Genomic DNA, 20,881 nt, shown 5'->3' with positions numbered 1-20,881 from the left:
TTAATTGCCGTAATTTGTTACAGCAGCAGTAAGAAATGATAAACCATGTTAATAGAGAACAAAAATCACATGATTATGTCAATAGAGTCAGAAAAAGTATTTGATAAAATCCAATGTTCTTTTGTGATAAAAATACTCAACAATCTAAGAATAGTAGACAACTTCCTCAGTTTGATGAAACGCATCTACGAATAACCCACAGCGAACATAGCGCTTTATAGTAAAAGACTGAATGTTTCCCCCATAAGTAGCAACAAGACAATGACGTCACCTTTGCCACTTCTTTAAAATATTTTTATGTTTGTTCTAGCCAATGCAATTTAGTAACAAAAAGAAATAAAGGACATTATTCTTGGGAAAAAAGAATAAAAATATATCTACTTGCAAATGATATCATCTTATAATTAGAAAATCCTACAGAATCTATTAAAAACTGTTAGAACTAGTAAATGAGTGCAGTAAGTTTACAGGATAGAAGATCAATATAAAAAATGAATTATATTTCTATGCCTGAGAAATTAACAAACTGAAAATGTAATTAAGAAAATTTCATTTACAATAGAATAAAAAATAAAATACTTAGAAACAAATTCCAAAAGAAGCATTAGACTTTCACACTGAAAATTATAATATATTGTTAAATAAAATTAAAAACAATTTAAAAATGAATGTAAAGGCAGCTAAATTTCATGGATCAGAAGACTTAAAATTTTTAATAGGGTAATATTCCCAAGTTAATCTACAGATTCAGTAAAATCACTGTCATAAACCCAGATGGCTTTTGCTGAAATTGATAGCGTATCTGAAAATTTATATGAAAATACAAAGGTTTTGAAAAAACAAAAAATCTTAAGAGGAATAACTTTCTGATTCTGAGGCTTACCACAAAGCTCAGTAAACAAGATACTGTGTAATGGCACAAGGAGAGATGTATATGTTAATGGGATGGATCTGAAAGTCTAGAATAAACTCTTCATTATAGCCAATTGGTTTTTGAAGAAAGTGCCAAGATGATTTAATGGGGGAGAAATATAGAATAGTCATTTCAAAAAATAGCATTGGGACAACTGGATATTCACATGCAAAAAAAGAAAAGAAATCTAGATTTCTGCCTCACATCATATGTAAAATTCTTCAAAATAAATTGTTGACCAAAATGTAAGCTCTAAAATGACAAACTTATCAGAAGAAAACATAAGAGTAAACATTCATGACCTGGGGTTAGGCAATGTTACATTAGACACGACAACAAATCAGATGCACAAAAAGAAAATAAATAATTATTGAACTCCACCAAAATTAAAAACTTTTGTTCTTCAAATATACTATAAAGACAATAAAAGAGATAAGCTATAGCCTGGGAGAAAAAATTTGCAAATCATATAACTAATAAGGGACTTGAACCCAAATATATAAAGAACACTTGCAATTCAATAATAAAAATGATAAATAGTCCAATTTAAAACTAGACAAATATTTGAATAGAAAATTCTTAAGAAGATACGCAAATCATCAATAAACACATAGAGTGATAATTAACATCATTAGTCATTAATGATACCACTTGACACTTACTAGGATTGCTAAAATCAAAATGTCTGACTACAGCAAATGTTGGTAAGGATGTGAAGAAATTGAAACCATCATACGCTCCTGGCAAGAATGTAAAATGTTCCCAAAATGGTTTGACATTTTCTTAAAATATTAAACATGAAATTGATCTATGGCTCTGTAATTCTATTCAGTACAACTCTTGTACAGAGATGTTCTTAGCATCATTATGCATAATAGTAAAAAATTAGAATCCACACAAATGTTCATAAACTAATTTATAGGCAATTAAAATGTAGTACGTAGTATATCCAAACAATGGAATATCCTTCAATAATAATAAAAAAATGAATGAAGTACTGATGCATGCTGCAACCTAAAAGAAGCTTGAACACATTATGCTTAACGAAAGAAGACAGTCACAAAAGATTACACAATTTATTCCACTTTTTTGGAAAGTCTGGAAACTGCCTAATGCTGTGATGCCAGTGATGGCAAACAAGAACCCAGACAAAAATGCAAAAAGATTTAAAAACAAAATGTCTATAGGGTGCTTTATGTGGATACAGAAGGCCATGTGCACATGCAGTGTTGTATGCCTGTCCAGAAAAGACCTTAAAGGGCACCAATCATTCACCTCCGCCCAACTTGTATCTCTGCAAAAGGATGCAGTGAAGGCTGACAGGCTTTTTAATGTCCAGAGTGGCGGGTGAATAAATGCCCCAACACACACAAAGCCTCTTGGCAAAAGGCAGGAAACATACAGGATCAAGCCATTTAAAGAAGTCTCGGACCAATCATTACCTGACTACTAAGCTAACCAAGCTAACACTTCATCGGCTGCACACTAGATGGATAATGGCATTATAGAATTATTCTGGAAAAGTTCTTAAATTAAAATACCACTGCCAATCAAAACTGTCCAGAAGAGAGGATATTTGATTTCCAAAGTTATCATATGATATTACCAAAAAATACAGTTTTCAACAAAAATCATAAGACGTGCGAAGAAACAGGAAAGAATGGCCCCCACAGGAGAAAACAAGCAGCAGGTGCATGCTGCCCATGAGCAAGCCCAGGTGGTAGAAGTATTAAAGACTTTGAATCAGTTCTTACCAATATGTAGAGAATATTAGGAGAGTGATGACTCACAAGTCTGAAAATATCAATAAGGAGATAGAATATATATATTTTAAATGGCCAAGTGGATATTTTAGAGATAAAAAGTATAGTAATTTAAAAAATTTACTAGAGGGGCTCAACACCAGTTTGAATTGGCAGAGAAAAGAATCAGCAAACTACAAGATGTTTCTGTAGTGATTCCTCTTTTAGTCTGTTACTAAAATAAAAGAAATATAGGAAAATAAACAGAGCTTCAGAGACCTGTGAGTCTCCATCAAACACAACATATGCAGCATATGCATAATGTTAGTTGCTGAAAGCTGGGGGAGAAAGGGACAGAAATATTTGAAAAAAATTACGTTTATGACAAGTAAATACATGAATTAGTAAGCAAGATCTTCCCACAAAGAAAAGCTCGTGCTTAGATGGCTTCACTGGTGAATTTTAGGAAAGATTTAAATAAATTAATACCAACGTGCCACAAACACTTCCCAAAAATAGAGAAAGAATAAAATTTCTAACTCATTTTATGATTTCAGTGTCACCCTGATACCAAATAAAATTCGTCATAAGAAAAGAAAACCAATATCCCTTGAGAATATGGAAAGAAAAATGTTAAGATCAGAAACAAGACAAAGATACTCGCTCTTTCTCTGCTGTTTAACACGTGCTTTGCGGCTGCCCCTCAGAGGCCTGGAGTAACCACCCTCAGATGTTGAGACAGATGATGCCACACACACCCTGCTTAATTCCATGTGGGTCCTGTGACACATTACTGCAAACTTCATGGCTTATAATAAAAATAAATTTATTCTCTTACATTTTAGGAGTCCAGAAGTCTGAAATAAGTATCAGTGGGCCAAAATCAAGCTGTCTGCATGGGTGTGCTCTGCCCAGAGGCCCCAACAGAGAGTAGGTTTGTTGCCTCTTCCAGCTGCAGGTGGCCGTTTGCATTCTTTGGCTTGTGGTTCTGTCACTCCAATCTCTTCCTTTGCCTTCACATTGCCTTTTTCTCTATATGTATTTCTTTTTCTCTTCTGGCTGTATCTAATCTCCCTCTTTCTCTAAGAAGGACACCTGGATGATCTGGGATGGCCTAGCCATTCCAGAATCCTTCACTTACTCACAACTACAAAGACCCTCTTTTATGAAATGGAACATTTACAGGTTCCAAGGATTAGGACCTGATATCTTTGGGAGGTCATTATTCAGTCTACTACACACACTAAGAGGGCCTGAGCAGATTTATCACATATATAGGCTTTCTGAGGAAAGCAGGGCAGATACCAAAGCCTCTCTGAAAATGGTCTGAGTGAAGGGAAGGGTGAGTGTTTCCAGTTTTTGGAGGGTGAAGCTGGCATGAGGGTTTCTATACAGGGTAGGTTTTGTGTATCTAGGAAAAGAGCACCTGGACATTCTTTATGAGCTCGAAGAAATGTTAGGCCAAAGGAAAAGGGGAATGGTGGGACTTGGACGTTGTCAGCTGTCAAATGTGAAAAATGAAGTCAGACTCCATTACAACATAGTATTGGAGGTTCTAGCCAAGGAAATCAGGCAAAATGACAAAACAAAACCAGTAAAACAGAAAGAAAGGGGAAAAAAAGAAAGACATCCAGATTGAAAATCAGGAAGTAAAACTTTATTTATTCGCAGTTAATATCACCCTGTTTATGGAAAATCCTAAAGAATCCAACTACAAGTAAAATGAAAAAAAAGAAAGACATCCAGATTGAAAATCAAAAAGTAAAACTTTATTTATTCACAGTGAATACCATCCTGTTTGTGGAAAATCCTAAAAAATCCAACTACAAGTAAAACAAAAAAAAATTAGAATAAACACACACTTTGGGAGGCCGAGGTGGGTGGATCACGAGGTCAGGAGTTCAAGACCAGCCTGACCAATATGGTGAAATCCCGTATCTACTAAAAATGCAAAAATTATCCAGGTGTGGTGGCACACGCCTGTAGTCCCCACTACTTGGGAGACTGAGGCAGGAGAATTGCTTGAACCCAGGAGGTGGAGGTTTCAGTGAGCCAAGATGATGCCACTGCACTCCAGCCTGGGCAACAGAGTGAGACTCTGTCTCAAAAAAAAAAAAAAAAAAAAAAAGAATAAACAAGTAGACCAAGGCCACATGAGACAAGATTAGTATAAAAAGTCAATTGTTATTCTATATACAAGCAGTGTCCACTCCAAAATTAAAATTAAGAATACAATTCTATTCACAGTGGCACTAAAAAAGTACAATACTTAGAAGTACACGTAACAAAAAAGTGTAAGGCGTATAAACTGATCACAAAACTGTGGAGAGACATTCCATGTTCATGAGTTTACAGACTCAGTTTATGTTGATGACAATTCCTCCCCAATTGATGTATGAATTCAACATAATCCCTATCAAAATTATAGCATGCTTTTTTTCAGAAATTGATAACCAAATCCTAAAACTTATATGGAAAGGCAAAACATCTAGAATAGTCAAAACAATTTAAAAACAAAATATTATTTAAAAATAAGAATGAAGTTGGAGGACTTCTACTTTCTGGTTTCAAAATTTACTATAAAGCTATAGTTATCAAGACAATGCATTACAGACATAGATTAATAGGTAGGTAGATATAAAGGGGGCAAATTGAGAGCATGGTGCATACAATTTTTTAAAAAATGTTTAACCTTGTCAATAAAAAACTTTTGCTCATAAAAAGGCATTATTAAGAAAATAAAAACGTGAGCAGTCTCCCAACAGACTGGGAGAAAATATTTTCAAAACGCATATCCAATATGAGGTTTCTATCCAGAATTTATGAAGAACTCTTACAAATCAATAATGAAAAGACAAATAAGTCAGTCAAAAAAAGTGGAGAAAAAACAGAAGACAGTCTACCAAAGATGATATATAAATAACTAATAAGCACATGAAAAGATGCTCAACATTATTTGTCATTAGGGAAATGCAAATTAAAACAACAATGAGCTATCACTACATACCTATTAGAATTGCTAAAATCCCAAACACAACACCAAAGGCTGATAAGGATGTGGAGCAACAGGGACTTTCATTCATTTCTGGTAGAAATACAAATGGTGAAGCCACTTCAGCAAACAGCTTGGCAGTTTCTTACAAAACTAAACGTATTCTCCCTATGTGGTCCAGTAATCGTGCTCCTTGGTATTTAACCAAACAAGTTGAAAACATACATCCATAGGAAAATCTGCATACGGATATTTAGAGCAGCTTTATTCATAATTGCCAAAATGTGGAACTAACCAAGATGTTCTACAGGTCAATGGATAGATAAATCATAATACATCTATATAATGGAACATTATTCAGTACTAAAAATAATAAGCCACCAAACCACTAAAAGTCATGGAAGAACCCTAAATAAAAATTACTAAGTGAAAGAAGCCAGTGTTAAGAGGCCATATGTTTCCAAGTGTATGACATTTTGAAAAAGAAAAAAAATCAGAGAGAGTAAAAAAACTCGGTAGTTTTCTCAGGTTTGGGGTAATGGCAGGGGGACTAAATGGGTGGAGTAGAGAGGATTTTCCTGGCAATGAAACTATTTTAAATGATACTAAAATAGTAGATACATGTCACAAATTTGTCAAAACCCAAAGAACTTCAACACCAAGAGTGAACCTTTGTAAACCATGGGTTTTGGTTGATGATGTGGCAATGTTTCTTCTTCTGTTGTAACAAATACACTTTATTGTTAGATGTTTACCATGGGAAGGCTCTACATGTTGGGGCAGAAGGGTGTGCATGGGAACTCTGCACATTTCACCAACTTTGCTGTGAACCTAAAAATAAAGACTACAGCTTCAGCATGTAGGAAGCTTAGAAGTTGCTACTGCATCCTAACAACAAATAGAAAACTGAACAAATGGAAAACCAGTAATTTATTTTATTTTTTAATTTTATGTATTTATTTATTTATTTTGAGATGGAGCCTTGGACTGTCGCCCAGGCTGATGTGCAGTGGTGCCATCTTAGCTCGCTGCAACCTCCCGGGTTCAAGCTCTTCTCCTGCCTCAGCCTCTGGAGTAGCTAGGATTACAGGCATGTGCCACCACGCCCGGCTAATTTTTTGTATTTTTAGTAGACACAGGGTTTCACTATGTTGGCCAGGCTGGTCTCAAACTCCTGACCTCATGATCCACCCCCCTCAGCCTCCCAAAGTGCTGGGATTACAGGCTTGAGCCACTGCACCCGGCCAGTAATTTTTTTAAATCAGTAAGATAAGTGATGTCACAAGATAAACCACTGCCTCCAAAATTGGAGAGACAGGCAGGTAAATATGGAAAAATCACAAGGTACCAGAGCAGAAACCCATGACTAAAAACCTTCATGGGAACCAGTGCCAGAGTAGGAAAAACTAAACTGTAGTTGAGAAACTGCCAGAGTCTCAGTGTGGACGAAAGTAAGAGTTAAAAACTCAAAGGGTAGGTACCATGATAAAGAGGGGCCCCTCACATTTTTGTGTGTTTTACCTCCATGAGCTCTACCAGGTCCTCACAGTGAATATGAATATCTGAGAAGAATAACCATGCTTTGGCAGAGGACATTCTCTTTTGCTTTGTTTTGTGTTTGAGACCAGGTCTCACTCTGTCACCCAGGCTGGAGTGCAGTGGTGTGATCTCAGCTCACTGCAATCTCCCCTTCCAAGGCTCAAGTGATTCTCCCCAACCTCAACATCCTAAGTAGTTGGGACCACAGATACATACCACCATGCCTGGCTAATTTTTGTGTTTTTTGTAGAGATGGGGTCTTGCCATTTTGCCCAGTCTGGTCTTGAACTCCTGAGCTTAAGTGATTCACCCCATCAACCTCCCAAAGTTGCACTGCCTGTGAAGCAGTATAGTGTTATTTGAAAGTGAACTTGGATTCGTTGTAAATGTATGTTGCAAATTCTAGGGTAACCACTAAAAAAAGTTAAAGAGAAGTGTTATAATTGACATGCTGAAAATAGAAAGAAAATGAAATTATACAAAACACTCAATTAAAGCCACAAAGGCAGAAAAAGCATGGAAGACAAAAAATAGGAACAAAGAACAAGGGAAAGAAGTAGAAAACAGTAACAAATATGGTTCATATTAATCCAACTACATCAATAATTACTGGAAACATCAATGGTCTGAATATACCAATTAAAAGACAAAAATCATCAAAATGGATGAAAAAACAAGACTTAACTGTATGTCGTCTACAAGAAACTAACTGTAACTATAAAATACATATAAATTAAAAGTAAAGGGATGGAGAAAGAGATACAATCTTAATATTAATGAAAAGAAAGTTGAAGTAGCTAAAATCATTTTAGACAGAGCAGACTTCAGAAAAAGAGAAGTTATCAGAGATAAAGGGGGCATTACACAATGATAAAGGGGTCAGTACTCCAAGAAAACAATAATTCTTTATGTCTCTGTACCTAACAATAGAGCATCAAAATATACAAGCCAAAAGTGGATAGAACTGCAAAGAAAAATAGAAGAATCTACTGTTATATTTGGGGACTTTAACTCTATAAGAAAATGAAATATCCAGTAGCCCAAAAGTCAGTAGGCATATAGTTGATCTTTATGGCATCATCAATCAACTGTGTATAATTGACCTCTAGAGACAACATCATCCAACAGCAACCCATTATGCATTCTTCTCAAGCTCACATGGAACATTTACTAAGATAGACCACATTGTGGGCAATAAAACATACCTAACAAGTTTCAAAGAGTAGAAATCATATAATGCCTGTTCTCAGACAACAATTGAATTCAATGGACTTTTGGAAATAACAAAAACTAAAATCAATAACAGAAATGTAGCAAAAAAAATCTCAAAATACTTGAAGATAAAACAACATACTTCTAAATAACACATGGGTCAAACAATAAATCTCAGATAAATTTTAAAATATTTGAACTAATGAAAACAAAAACCCAACTTATTAAAATTTGTGGAATATAGCTAAAGCAATGCTTAGAGGGAAATTTATGGCTTTGGATATATATATTAGAAAAGAAGAATGATATACAATTAATAATCTCCACTTCCACCCATGGAAACTAGAAAAAAAAAAGAGAAAATTAAATCCAAAGTAAGCAGAAAAAAAGAAATAACAAAAATTAAAGCAGAAAATAATAAAATTGCAAACAGGAAATCAGTAGAGAAAGAAGAGACTGGTTTTTTGAAAAGACTCATAAAAATTATTAGTCTCTAGTCTTGGAAACTAAGAAAAAAATGAAGAAAATAAAAATTATTAATATTGAAAAGAAAGAGTAGATACCATTCCAAATCCCATGGACATTAATAGGATAGTAAAGAAATGTTATGAACAATTTTATGCCAACAGATTTCATAATCTAGATGAAATGAACTAATTTCCTGATAGAAAATTTTACACAAAAATAAATAATCTAAATAGGCTGATACCTATGAAAGCAATTTAATCAATAATTAACTGTCCAAAACTGAAAGCGCCAGGTCCAGAGGTATTTACCTGTGAATTCTAGCAAACATGTAAGAAATACATTATACCAATTCTGTATAGTCTTCCTCAGAAGCCAGAAACAGAAGTAATATTTTCTAACTTATTCTATGAGGCCAGCATTACCCTAATACCAAAATCAAACAAAGGCAGTTTAAGAAAACTACAGAGTATCTCTCATGAAAATTGGTGTAAAAATCTCAACAAAATATTAGCAAATTGAATCCCACAATGTATACAAAAAATTACACACTATGACCAAGAGGAATTAATTCCAGGCATGCAAGACTGGTTCAATCTTTGAATATCAATTAATGTAATGCATGACTTCAAAAAATTAAAAAAGAAAAATCACATGATCCTATTTATAGGTGCAGAAAAAGCATTTGAGAAAATCCAACACCCAGTCATGATAAAAACTCTCAATAGACTAGGAATAGAGGGGAACTTCCTCAATTGTATAAAGAACACTTACACAAATGTTCTACAACAAACATCATACTTAATGGTGAGAAACTGGAAGCAAAGATCAATAACAAGTTAAAGGATATCACCTCTCACCACTTTCATGTCACATCTAATGCTATAAGACAATAAAAGAAATAAATTGTATATTATTTGGGAAGAAAAAATTATCTCTGTTTACAGATGACACAATGTTTTTACGTAGAAAATACAAAAGAATCAGCCAAAGAAACCTCTGAAATTAATAATTGATTACAGCAAGGTTGCAGGACACAAAGTTAATACAGAAAAATCAATTGCTTTCTTTCATACCAGCAATGAACAGAAGAAATTTTGAATTTTAAAAGACAATATTATTTACATTAACATTTCCCAAAATGAAATACTTAGGTACAAACCTAACAAAATACATACATTACCCTCATATATTTATGAGGAAAACTAAAAAACTGATAAAAGATATTGATGGCAGTGGCAGCTGTCTGGAGAAGCTGCTGCCATCATGTGGACTGCAGCAGGGAGGCATGTCTGGGGCTGCACACTCCATGGAGCCAGCAGGAGCTGGGGACAAGTGGGAGCCCTGCTCCTTCTGAGTTGAAGTGGGAGCTCTCCCAGTTCCACTGCAACCTCCCAAGCGATGGCTGTGGACCCAGGCATCTCTGTGCTCTCAGGGCCCGGGAGCAGGGGTGGCGCCCAGCTCTCATAGGCACAGCTTCAGCAGCCCAAGTTGCGGCTGTGGACCCAGGCCTCCAGCACCACAGAGCAGGCAGGAACTGTGCTCCCCTGGGCACAGCTGCAGCCACCGAAACTGCAGCTGCAGACCCAGGCATCACTGCATCTCTGCTCTCTTGGGGGCCTGGGAAGGCCTCCCCTGACCTTGCAGGCTTGGAAGTGCCTGCTCTTGCTTGCTGGCTTCTCCCTGCTGTCAGCACCTGTTTTGATCTTGGAGCAAAGTCAGAGCCAAGCCCAGGTGCTGTCATAGCCCCGCTGACTGTGCACATGTTTGGACACACCAACCCACTGCCCCCTCAGCCCCCTCTGGACTTTGGGCACTGACAAGCATGGGAGGGAAGCTGAGGGGGCACTGAGGGCAGCTCGGTGCTGGCCTGCAGCTGCACCTTGGCACCGATAGTCTGGGCGCCATGAATAGCAGCAGGAGGTAGATAGGTTCCTGGGCATAAGGGGGCAGGTCCCCGGTGAGGCCCCACCTTCAGGCCAGGGAGGGTCTGAAGGCTGGAAACTAGGCTGCCAGTCCTGTACACTAGAGTGGAAAATTGTGGTCCCTTTTCTGGGCCTGCCCATGGCCACCCATGGACGAATTGGCATGCACTTTCTCCCCTCTGAGGCCCATAAAAGCCCTGGGCTCAGCCAGAGCTGAGCGGATATCAGGACGACAAGCTGCAGAGAGGTACTACCCATACCAAGGCCTCCTCTCTGCTGAGAGCTGCAGAGACAATGGAATGACCTGCCTGTAGAGAGGAGCTTCCCACTCCAGGGTCTCCTTTCAGCTCAGAGCTGAACACCCATTCCTCATCTTGCTCACCCTCCACTTCTTTGTGTATCTCATTCTTCCTGGTCGCAGGACAAGAACTTGGGACCTGTTGGATGGCAGGGCTAAAACAGCTGTAAAACAAACAGGGCTGAAACATGTCCCATGCTCACCACATTGCGGACAAAGAGGAGAGAAGAGCTGTGGGCCTTCAGGGAGCCTAGATCTGGGAGCTCCTCTAGCCAGGGCTGTCACTTCCTCTTTGGGGCCCTGTGGTTCCTGGCATCTCCAAGCTTCTGGGCGTCACCACGTCCTCCAGTGCCAGCTGTGGAAGCTGCTTGCAGTGCATCTGGTTCAGCCACAGCATCACAGAGAGCTGGTGCCCATGCCGGCACCTGGAGCTGCCCACCCAGCTGCAGTGGCCAGACTTCATGTTCACTCACACACCCCTCACTGCTCCACCCCTGACTAGCCCTTGGCAGACATGGGATCCAGGCATGTAGTGTGTGCTGAGCACAGCCTGGCAGGCTGAGTGAGCAGAACTAGCCCAGTAGGCCCAAGCAAAACCCTGGCAAAGGAGCCACTGTCCACAGAGGTTTATGGCCAGAACAGCAACACTCCACTGATCCTGTAACAATATCGAAGAAGAAATATACAAATGAAGAGCTATTTTGTGTTTATTGATAGAAAGATGCATAATTGCCAGTCAGACGTTGGTTCTTCCCAACTTGATCTATAGATTTAATGCAATCTCAAACAAATTCTCATTAAATTATATCTAGCTATATTGTGGAAATCAACAAAATGAATCTATAGTTTATATGAAGAGGTGAAGCATGCAAAATAGACAATTCAATATTGAAGAAGAAGAACAGTCAGAAGACTGACTGATGCTATTTTGAATAATTACTATAAAACTACAATATTCAAGCCACGTGGTATTGGCAAAAAAATAGACAAATACATTAATGGAACAGAATAGAGAACTGAGAAATAGACACACATGAATTTAGTTAACATGATCTTTTTAAAAAATTAAATTTATGGCCAGGCACGGTGGCTCACGCCTGTAATCCCAGCACTTTGGGAGGTCAAGGCGGGTGGATCACGAGGTCAGGAGTTCAAGACCAGCTGGCCAACATGATGAAACCCTGTCTGTACTAAAAAACACAAAAATTAGCCAGGTGTGATGGCGGGCGCCTGTAATCCCAGCTACTCTGGAGGTTGAGGCAGGGGAATTGCTTGAACCCGGGAGGTGGAGGTTACAGTGAGACGAGATCATGCCACTGTACTCCAGCCCGGATGACAGTACAAGACTCTGTCTCAAAAAAAAAATTATTTTTATTGATACATATTAATTGTGTATATTTATGGGGCAAGTGATATTTTGATACATGCTTATATAATGATCACATCAGGGTATTTAGGATATTCATAATCTCAAACATTTATCATTTCTCTGTGTTGAGAACATTTCAAACACATATTATTAAGTGAAAGAAGCACATCTAAAAAGGCTATGTACTATATGATTCTAACTATATGACATTCTGGAAAAGCAAAAGAATGGAGGCAGTGAAAGATCAGTGGTTGCCTGGGGTTAGGTGGAATGGAGGGGTAAACAGGTAGAGCAGAGAGCAATTTGGGGGCAGCAAAACTCTTCTGAATGATACTAGGATGGATGACACTTGTTATTGTACATTTGTAGAACACCATGAGTGAATGTTCATGTAAGTTATGAGTTGGTTCATAATGTGCCAATGTAAGTCCATCGATTATAACAAATGTGCTACTGTGGCATGGGATGTTATTACTGGGGGAGGATGTGCATGTTTAGGAATGGAAATATATGGGAATTCTCTTTACTTTCCATGTACTTTTTCCGTGAGCCTAAAACTGCTCTAAAAAAATAAAGTTTATTAATTAAAAATATATAAAATCTATTAAAAACGTAAACAGAAAAGTAAAGCAAATAACACCTTATTGTATAAAATGCCAGTACTTTGTAATATGCTTTGAGATTTGACTCTGAATTATTTTTATTTTTTTTTATAATAAATATCTAAAGCAAAGAATACTGTTTCATTTGGGAGGTTTCCCATAAATTTCACATGTTGTAATATTATTTTGTTCTTTCTTTAACAATTTATGATTATCACTGTAAAAAACATTTCCACAAATTGAGTTTCCAAGATCTAATTGGCTTTTTATTAACAATTCATTAAAGGAAAATATAAAGGAGCTTCAATAAACTAAACAGAATGAATGAGTTTCACATGTACAAAAATGTGGAGAAAAGAAGAAAGAAGAAAAAAATAGCAAATTGATCATTTTGAGGTTAATTTTTTAACAGGGATGAAAGCAAAATATTGTTGGAGTAACATAATTTTGCTGTCATTTGTTGCCTGATTTTTTGAAAGGTCAAAAACTTAGGTTTCATTTTGGTGGAATGGAGTGACTCCATTTTGGATCTACTGTCTTCTGTAACGTTACCTTTCTTACATTCTTACATTATATTTCTTTAACATTCTTAAATTTCGTCTTTGACTCCATAAATATTTAATTTCTAAATGTTAAAATGCTTTCTTGTTATTGCTTAAAATATTAATTATCATTTTCTAACTCATTAGATTTTTATCACAGAGTATGTTTCATACTATATGGGAGTGAAGGTAATTATGTTTTGGGAAGGCTAAATTTTCATGGAAACTTAGGGAAAAGGATATTTTCTGTTGTTGAGATGTTTATGCATATCTATAAATCTAGTCTTAGGGATTACATTTTTCAAGTATTTTGCTTTGATTTATTGCCTTATCAAAGAAAGACAAAGATGGAGGTAGAATTTCTCAAAGCAATTGCATGTTTCTTACCTTACGTTTACCCTTATTTTTCTAATAGTGTTATACTAATTTAGTACACAAATATTAATAGTTATAATATTAGTAAAATTTTTGTATCTATAAAGAGTTCAGTCATTTTTTGTCTAAAATTTACTTTGTATGAAATAATATTGCCAGCTTTGCTCCTTTTTAATTGGACTGATTGATGTTTTTGTTTTTAAACATTCTATGATTTTTTTGTCAGAGATGTGTGTGTATATATTTTTTTTCTCGGATTATCCTACTGTTACTTATGTATGTCCAAAATTAATATCCAATGTGAATAATATTTAGGCAAAACATAATTTCAAAATCATGGCAATTATTTTATATTTATATTTTGATATTGATTTAAAAAATAATGTTTCAGAAGTAAAGTTCGAAAACATATTTTCTCCTGTGTTGGTAAGTATTTCTTATCTACCTAGGAAACTAAAATACTCTGTTTTTTCTTCCTACATTTCAAAGTATGGATCCTGTAGGTTCACAATGTTGCCTGTTTCTTTAGCTCAAGAAATTATTCTTTCATTATGTTATTGATTCTATACTTTTTTCTTTCTTAAGAATACAAAATCCTTTTAGGTTGGGATCTTAAGAATATGAAATCGTTTTAGGTTGACTCCTTTTTTCACACTCTTCCATGTCAATATTCTTTTATAATTTTCATCTCATTGCCAATTTTTTCTTCATTCTGAGAGAGCAAATGATTCCTGTCCTTCACATAACTAATTCAAAAGTCTCACAAAATTCTATGAGTTCATTGATTTTCAGGTGGATTTAATTTAGCTCTTATATTCCTGTACATTTGTAAGTATTTACAGGAATATACTTTATTTATTTATTGATTGATTGATTGATTGATTGATTGAGATGGAGTCTCACTCTGTCACCCAGGCTGGAGTGCAGTGGCACAATCTTGGCTCACTGCAAACTCTGCCTCCCAAGTTCATGCCATTCTCCTGCCTCAGCCTCCTGAGTAGCTGGGAATACAGGCACCCACTACCACCACGCCCTGCTAATTTTTTGTATTTTTAGTAGAGACGGGATTTCCCTGTGTGGACCAGGGTGGTCTCAATCTCCTGACCTGGTGATCCACCCGTCTCAGCCTCCCAAAGTACTGGGATTACAGGCATGAGCCACCATGCCCGGCCAGAAATATACTTTATTATACATTTTTGGCAACTTGATTTGTTTTACAAAATTATCTATCTTAGAAATCAATCCTTGTTTTAATATGTATATATCCCTCAATATCTTTCAATCTTCTTTAATTGTCCCTCAGTTTTAATAGTTACAGGATATTGCATTAAATGGATTTGCATAATTTAGTGTTTCTTTTGAGATCTACTTTGTGTTCAATCTTTTGACAGTACAAACAATTCTTTCAAATAGTCTTTGTATGTAAGTCTCTTTCACAGGAGTGAAGATATATAGGATACATTCCTAAAAATCATAATTGTTAGCATTCAGAATCTTTGTGTTTTTCCTCTTTTTTTTTTGTTTGTATTTTTGAGAAACATTACCAAATTGCCCTTCATAGACAGATAATTTCCTTTTATACATCCTCTTACCCAATTCCATTTTAATTTTAATCTGTTCCTTCTTGTTAAACTTATTCTGTTTCACAGACTTAATATGTTATTTTATTTTATTGAATTACTTGAGAAATTAGTGTTTTTTTTATTCTAACATTGTATTCTTTTGTGATATTTAAATACAGTGAGAGATTTAATCTTCACTTGAGTCTTCAGGGTAAAGACTCAATTGAAGATTATTCACTTCAATTACACTGATATTTTTGGGTCATCATGTTTCTCTGACTCTAGTTTTTGTAGTTTTCAACTTCAGCTTGATTGTTTCCAGGCTGAGTGATTTCCTATAAACAGGGGCTAGGGCTTACCCTTAGCCTAGTTGTCTGCCTATCAGTATGTTGAACTGTCTTTGCCCAGCTAAAGGACTAATTGATATTTGCACACTGATTTTAAGGGTTAGCAAGCATTAATGAAGAAGCTCTGCTAATCCAAGTGGCATCAACTCCAACCCCCACAGAAGTAACAGTCAATGCTAAAAACCCCAATTTCAGCATCAAGTTTCCCCATGGCTCTTTCTGTTTCTGTCTGTTGTATTTCTGGACTTTGTAGCTGAGCTTTATATCTCCCATGATATAATTTATCCAAGCATTACTTTTCTGTATCTGACCTGTGGTTTTCTGAGCGATGAAGTTGTCATTTCTGATTACATTTGAAGAGAAGTTGATTATGGGAGGAAGAAATTGGAAGAGAGGTGGCAACCCTCAGCTGTTTTATTGCATCTGCTTTGTTTTCTCAGTGCCTATTACAGATTATGAGCCATCATCCAATCTATAAGCAATAAATAAAATATCTCTACATCCTTGTCAAACTACTGTATTTGTATTATCTTAAGCAAAATGTATATGTAATTCTCCTTTCAACTCTGAAAGTTTTGTACCTCCCAAATTTTGCAATAAGTTGGCTATAAATACTAGTTTTTGTTGCTGTTTTCTTTTTGTTTATATTTGCATTGATATTTTATTGATAGATTTGGAGAGATTACATGAAGATAGATGACCAGAGTATGCGTTTAGTTAAAATTATTGGTTTAATTTGGCATTTGAATCAGGTCATTCTCTTACAAGCCACATATTTCTGTCTCAAAGACTTAGTGTATAAACTGTATTTAACAATTGTGCTCTCATTTTAAGTAAAATATAGGAGCTAAATCTATAAAGAAATAATATTATCAGAATAATATTTATACAGTAAATAACTGTTAATTTATTTGTATGTAAATTTGCATTTCTATATGGCATAGCGTTAAGGAAATTATCCATTTTAGCTTATGTTTCTCTTTATTCTGGAAAACATCTATTCTTCCAGTATTAAATTTCTTCTAAAATTACTTACTCTATTGGGCCTCTATCTCCGTCTCTTTTCCTGGTGTAGTCTTCTCTTCTACTTATTCACAGTTTTATCCTTGAATTAACTTGTTTTTTCTGCACTCTTTCATTATGCTGGAAACCTTCCTGCCAATTTGCAAGAAAGCAATACTCTTTGTTGATTTCCCTTTGAAAGAGAAAAGCAAGCTTCTAAACTAAGAAAGATCAAATCAGCATAAACTATTAGTATGATATTGTATTCTAAAGCAATGAATGTATCTATAACTAAAGATCTCACTCAGAAACACCTGGAGCTATTTTATCTTCAATAGTATGCAAAGGCTATATTTAACTACAACACTTAAAAAACAAATTTTGTGTTTTCCTTTTATTGTTTCAGAAATTACAAATTTTAAATAAACTATGTGAAGATGGAAAAAAATCACATATTGGAAAGGGAGCAGAGGAGAGATTAATCTACAATTTGACCTGTTAGAGAAATTAAACTCAAAGGTCCCTTAAATATAACAAAATTACTTCAAAAATAAATCAAGATATTTTATTTTTAAAAGCAAAGAACGATACAACAGGTATGTGTTTTTGTTTCCTCTTTTTCATATGTCAGGGTGAAATCAGATGTAAGTAATTTATTAGTTATGAGATACACTCATTCATATTAGTTATAACTCATTTCTTATGTTTAAAGTTGATATAAAATATTCATTTTGAATATTTTCAACTATAAACTTTAAAAGGAGAAATATAAATGCTAACTAATGTATAATTTCCCATTTTCAATGTAAAAAGATATTTTTGTCATGTTCCAAATTTTCATTTATTTTAAATACTTGTTGTTTTTTTTTTTTTTTTTTTCCTTAAGGGCCAAGGATAATTCTATCAGAGGACAAAGATGGTTGCTTTTAATTGCTCAGTTACTCTATCCAGTGATCCAACTTTGGCTTCAGGTTGCTATAGCAATTAAAATGGGAAAATTGGAAACAAAGCTTATTAAACTTCATTTAATCCATTATATATGGTTACAGCAACCAAAAAGCTTCCTACAGATTCTGAAATGGAAGCATCACCTCTGCAGATAATTAAGTGTTTTGGTGGGAATTTGTTCGAAAACCCAATGTACAATTAGACAAATATGTTCACATACCATCTTTCATTGAAGTCTGTATGAGTGTACATGCTTGTCAACGGGTCCTGATCCTAAATGCTTTTATGTCTGATTAATTGTCGATATCAGGCAGGATCTTGCTCATTAGCTCCTTACAGGGTCCATTTTAGATTGCAATGAGCTTCATTTAGAGATGATATGCTAACTGTTAATAAACTGCATTGAATTTTTGTGTGTGAGCAGATCCTGTTGGAAAAAATCTAAAAATCTTCCAAAGGGACTGAATAAATTCAGATTATTCTCTGTTGCAAAATTTACTATTAGATTATCTATTTTGCTTTAATTAAATATAAACTTTGTGTTTGCTCTTTATTTTGTATTTTATGTTTTGAATGTATCTGGTGTTTCCCACAGATATACTGACACTGTCAACTAATATTACTTCTGTATGTAAATGAAGCAAACTGATTTTAAGATTCACTAGATCTTGGTAACTAACTTTTTAGGCAGACATTGCAGACAAATGCATATTTTAGCCATTAATAAAAACTCTAAAGGCAACTCACTCAATATTTTTCTCTTTAATTCAATAAAATTATTAGAAGACCTGATGATAGACCTGCTTTATTAATATATGTTGGAAACACAGAGTTAGGAAAATTTTCTAGAAATTACAGCAGGAGATAGTAAAGTTAGCTCAAGAAAGAAGACTTCTAAGTGAGTCCTGCCCACAATTATTCTTTCTTGATTTTGAGATCATAAGTATTTGTTTTGTTTTTTATTTTTTGTATTAAGCTGGATATGGACTAAATTTTGTCATAAAGAAAACTATCAAGAATCACAAGTTAAAAAAAGTTAAAATTTTTTAAATGAAAAAGCATAGCTTTATTATTAAACTCACCCCTACATACTACATACTAAAAGTAGAATAAGTTTACTGAATAAACTAATGGCTAGTCTCACTATCTTATCTAGACTAGGAGAATTACTTTTTACAAAATGTAGCTCATTTGGCTATCTCCTTGTGTGCTTTTTAGAAAATGTTCCTAACTCCATAAGTGTCTTCAACATATATTAATAAAACAGGTCTATTATTGGGTCTTCTAATAATTTTAGTGACGTCAAATGATAAAATACATTGTTTGGAGCTGTCTACATGAGAGAAAACATATTGTGAGAAGTCATAGAATTTTGCTTAGAAAGAGTTGCAAATATATCAATGAAGGAGTCAACACTGGTAATAATAATGTATATTTAAGGATACATATGATATTAGAAATAATCTGGAATCAATACTTATATCTAATATAAAATAAATATAATAACAATTACAATAACATCTTTTCTTGCTTTTTAAGTCTTTAATACATTGGAATTTACACTGAAATTTTCCACTGATTAGAAGTTCTAAAAAATTATCATTATCACAGGTGTTGAATAAAAAGATGCCTTGAATAGATAGTAGGAAATATATATTTTTGGTGGCATTTAGCAGACAATTAAAAATCTTACATCTCAAATCATTCAGTAAATTGGGAAAAGGTCTTGTTTAGTGATATTTTGCAGTTCTCACAAAGACATAGGAAAGGCAATAATGGAATTTTTTATTTCATTAAAACTTATAAAATAACATTCAATTTTGGAAAGAAAAGTATACTTCATGGATATTTTATACTCCATTTATATTATACTTTTTTCTTTTATACTATATTTCTTTTGGTCTCTTTTTAAAAGCAAGTGTAGAAGACAAAGACTTTTCTCTAAAATGATCACAAAAACACAGGAGTATATGGCTCCTGAGCATCTCTTTTTCTAATATCCCCATATTTAATGATATATTTTAAAGAATTCTGTGACTTTACTTTTATCAACAACCAAGTTGAAATTAATTCTATATAAATTTTTTATCACATGTGAAGATGATGACTATATATAAAAATATTGCTTTGTGTCAGTTTCCAAATACATGCCATAACAATAATTTAATAACTTCTATGAAAGTAAAATGAGGACTCACAACAGAATTTAAAATGTACTCATTAGAAAACAGAGCTTCAGGAACACTTGAAATAATAATATCTCTTCAAATGGGATGTACATTCCTTACTAATATGGTTTGTCTGTGCCCCCACCCAAATCTCATCTTGAATTGTAGCTCCCATGATTCCCATGTGTTATGGGAAGGATCCAGTGGGAGGTAATTGAATCATGGGGGTGGGTCTTTTCCGTGTTGTTCTCATGATAGAGAATAAGTCTGACAAGATCTGCTGGTTTTATAAGGTGGGGTTTCCCTGCACAAGCTCTCTCTTTGCCTGCTGCCATCCATGTAAGATGTGACTTGCTCCTCCTGGCCTTCTGCCCTGATTATGAGGCCTCCTCAGCCATGTGGAACTGTAAGTCCATGAAACCTCCATTACTCAGTCTTGGGTATGTCTTTATCAGCAGTGTGAAAACAGACCAATACACTTAATAAATAAGGCAACTTTGATTCGTAATGAGATCCTTTCATTCATTCAGGAGATTCTCCTAAAGTGTATGGTGCTTTTCCACCAGTTGGAGTTCAAGCTCTCTGTTCCTTTGTCCAATGATGGCAACTATTCTTTCCAAGCCCTACTCATTGGGAATTGTAGTAATGGCTGTTTCCTGAATATACACTGAACATATTTTTTCCTGTGCTTTTTCTTATAAATATCTACAATACCTAGAATATTTACTATCCATCTAAAACAGTGAGGACTCTATCTTTTTTTTTTTTTTTTTTGTCCCTTAATGCTTTCCTGAGCAGCATGGGGATGTGCTCCCTTCCATGAAATTCTTATGATTTTTTGCTGTTCCCTTCTTATTTTACTTACATTATTGTAGTAAAG

The 20,881-nt window shown here is 34.9% G+C and overlaps 1 long non-coding RNA gene across 3 annotated transcripts in view, besides 1 other annotated feature; it reads right to left on the bottom strand.

The window, feature by feature from the left end:
- Positions 1-8,938: 8,938 nt before the first annotated feature.
- Positions 8,939-20,881, bottom strand: part of LINC01965 (long intergenic non-protein coding RNA 1965) — a 205,982-nt gene continuing 194,039 nt past the window's right edge. For 2 of the 3 annotated variants that reach the window (XR_001739621.2, XR_001739622.2), the window contains exon 3: positions 8,939-11,744. This is a non-coding gene — a long non-coding RNA (long intergenic non-protein coding RNA 1965). Of the gene's footprint in view, positions 11,745-16,930; positions 17,039-20,881 lie in introns of those variants that run through there. The other variant, XR_007088674.1, reaches the window with a different exon arrangement.
- Positions 17,029-18,977: an enhancer, noted in NCBI's record as "VISTA enhancer hs1554". NCBI's record gives its function as "enhancer in: branchial arch[5/13]" and the evidence as "EXISTENCE:transgenic organism evidence [ECO:0001131][PMID:17130149]".

The sequence above is a fragment of the Homo sapiens genome, chromosome 2, assembly GCF_000001405.40.
Source record: "Homo sapiens chromosome 2, GRCh38.p14 Primary Assembly".
NCBI lineage: Eukaryota > Metazoa > Chordata > Mammalia > Primates > Hominidae > Homo > Homo sapiens.
Note: the sequence above shows the minus strand (reverse complement) of the source record. Positions and strands in the feature narration are given on the sequence as shown.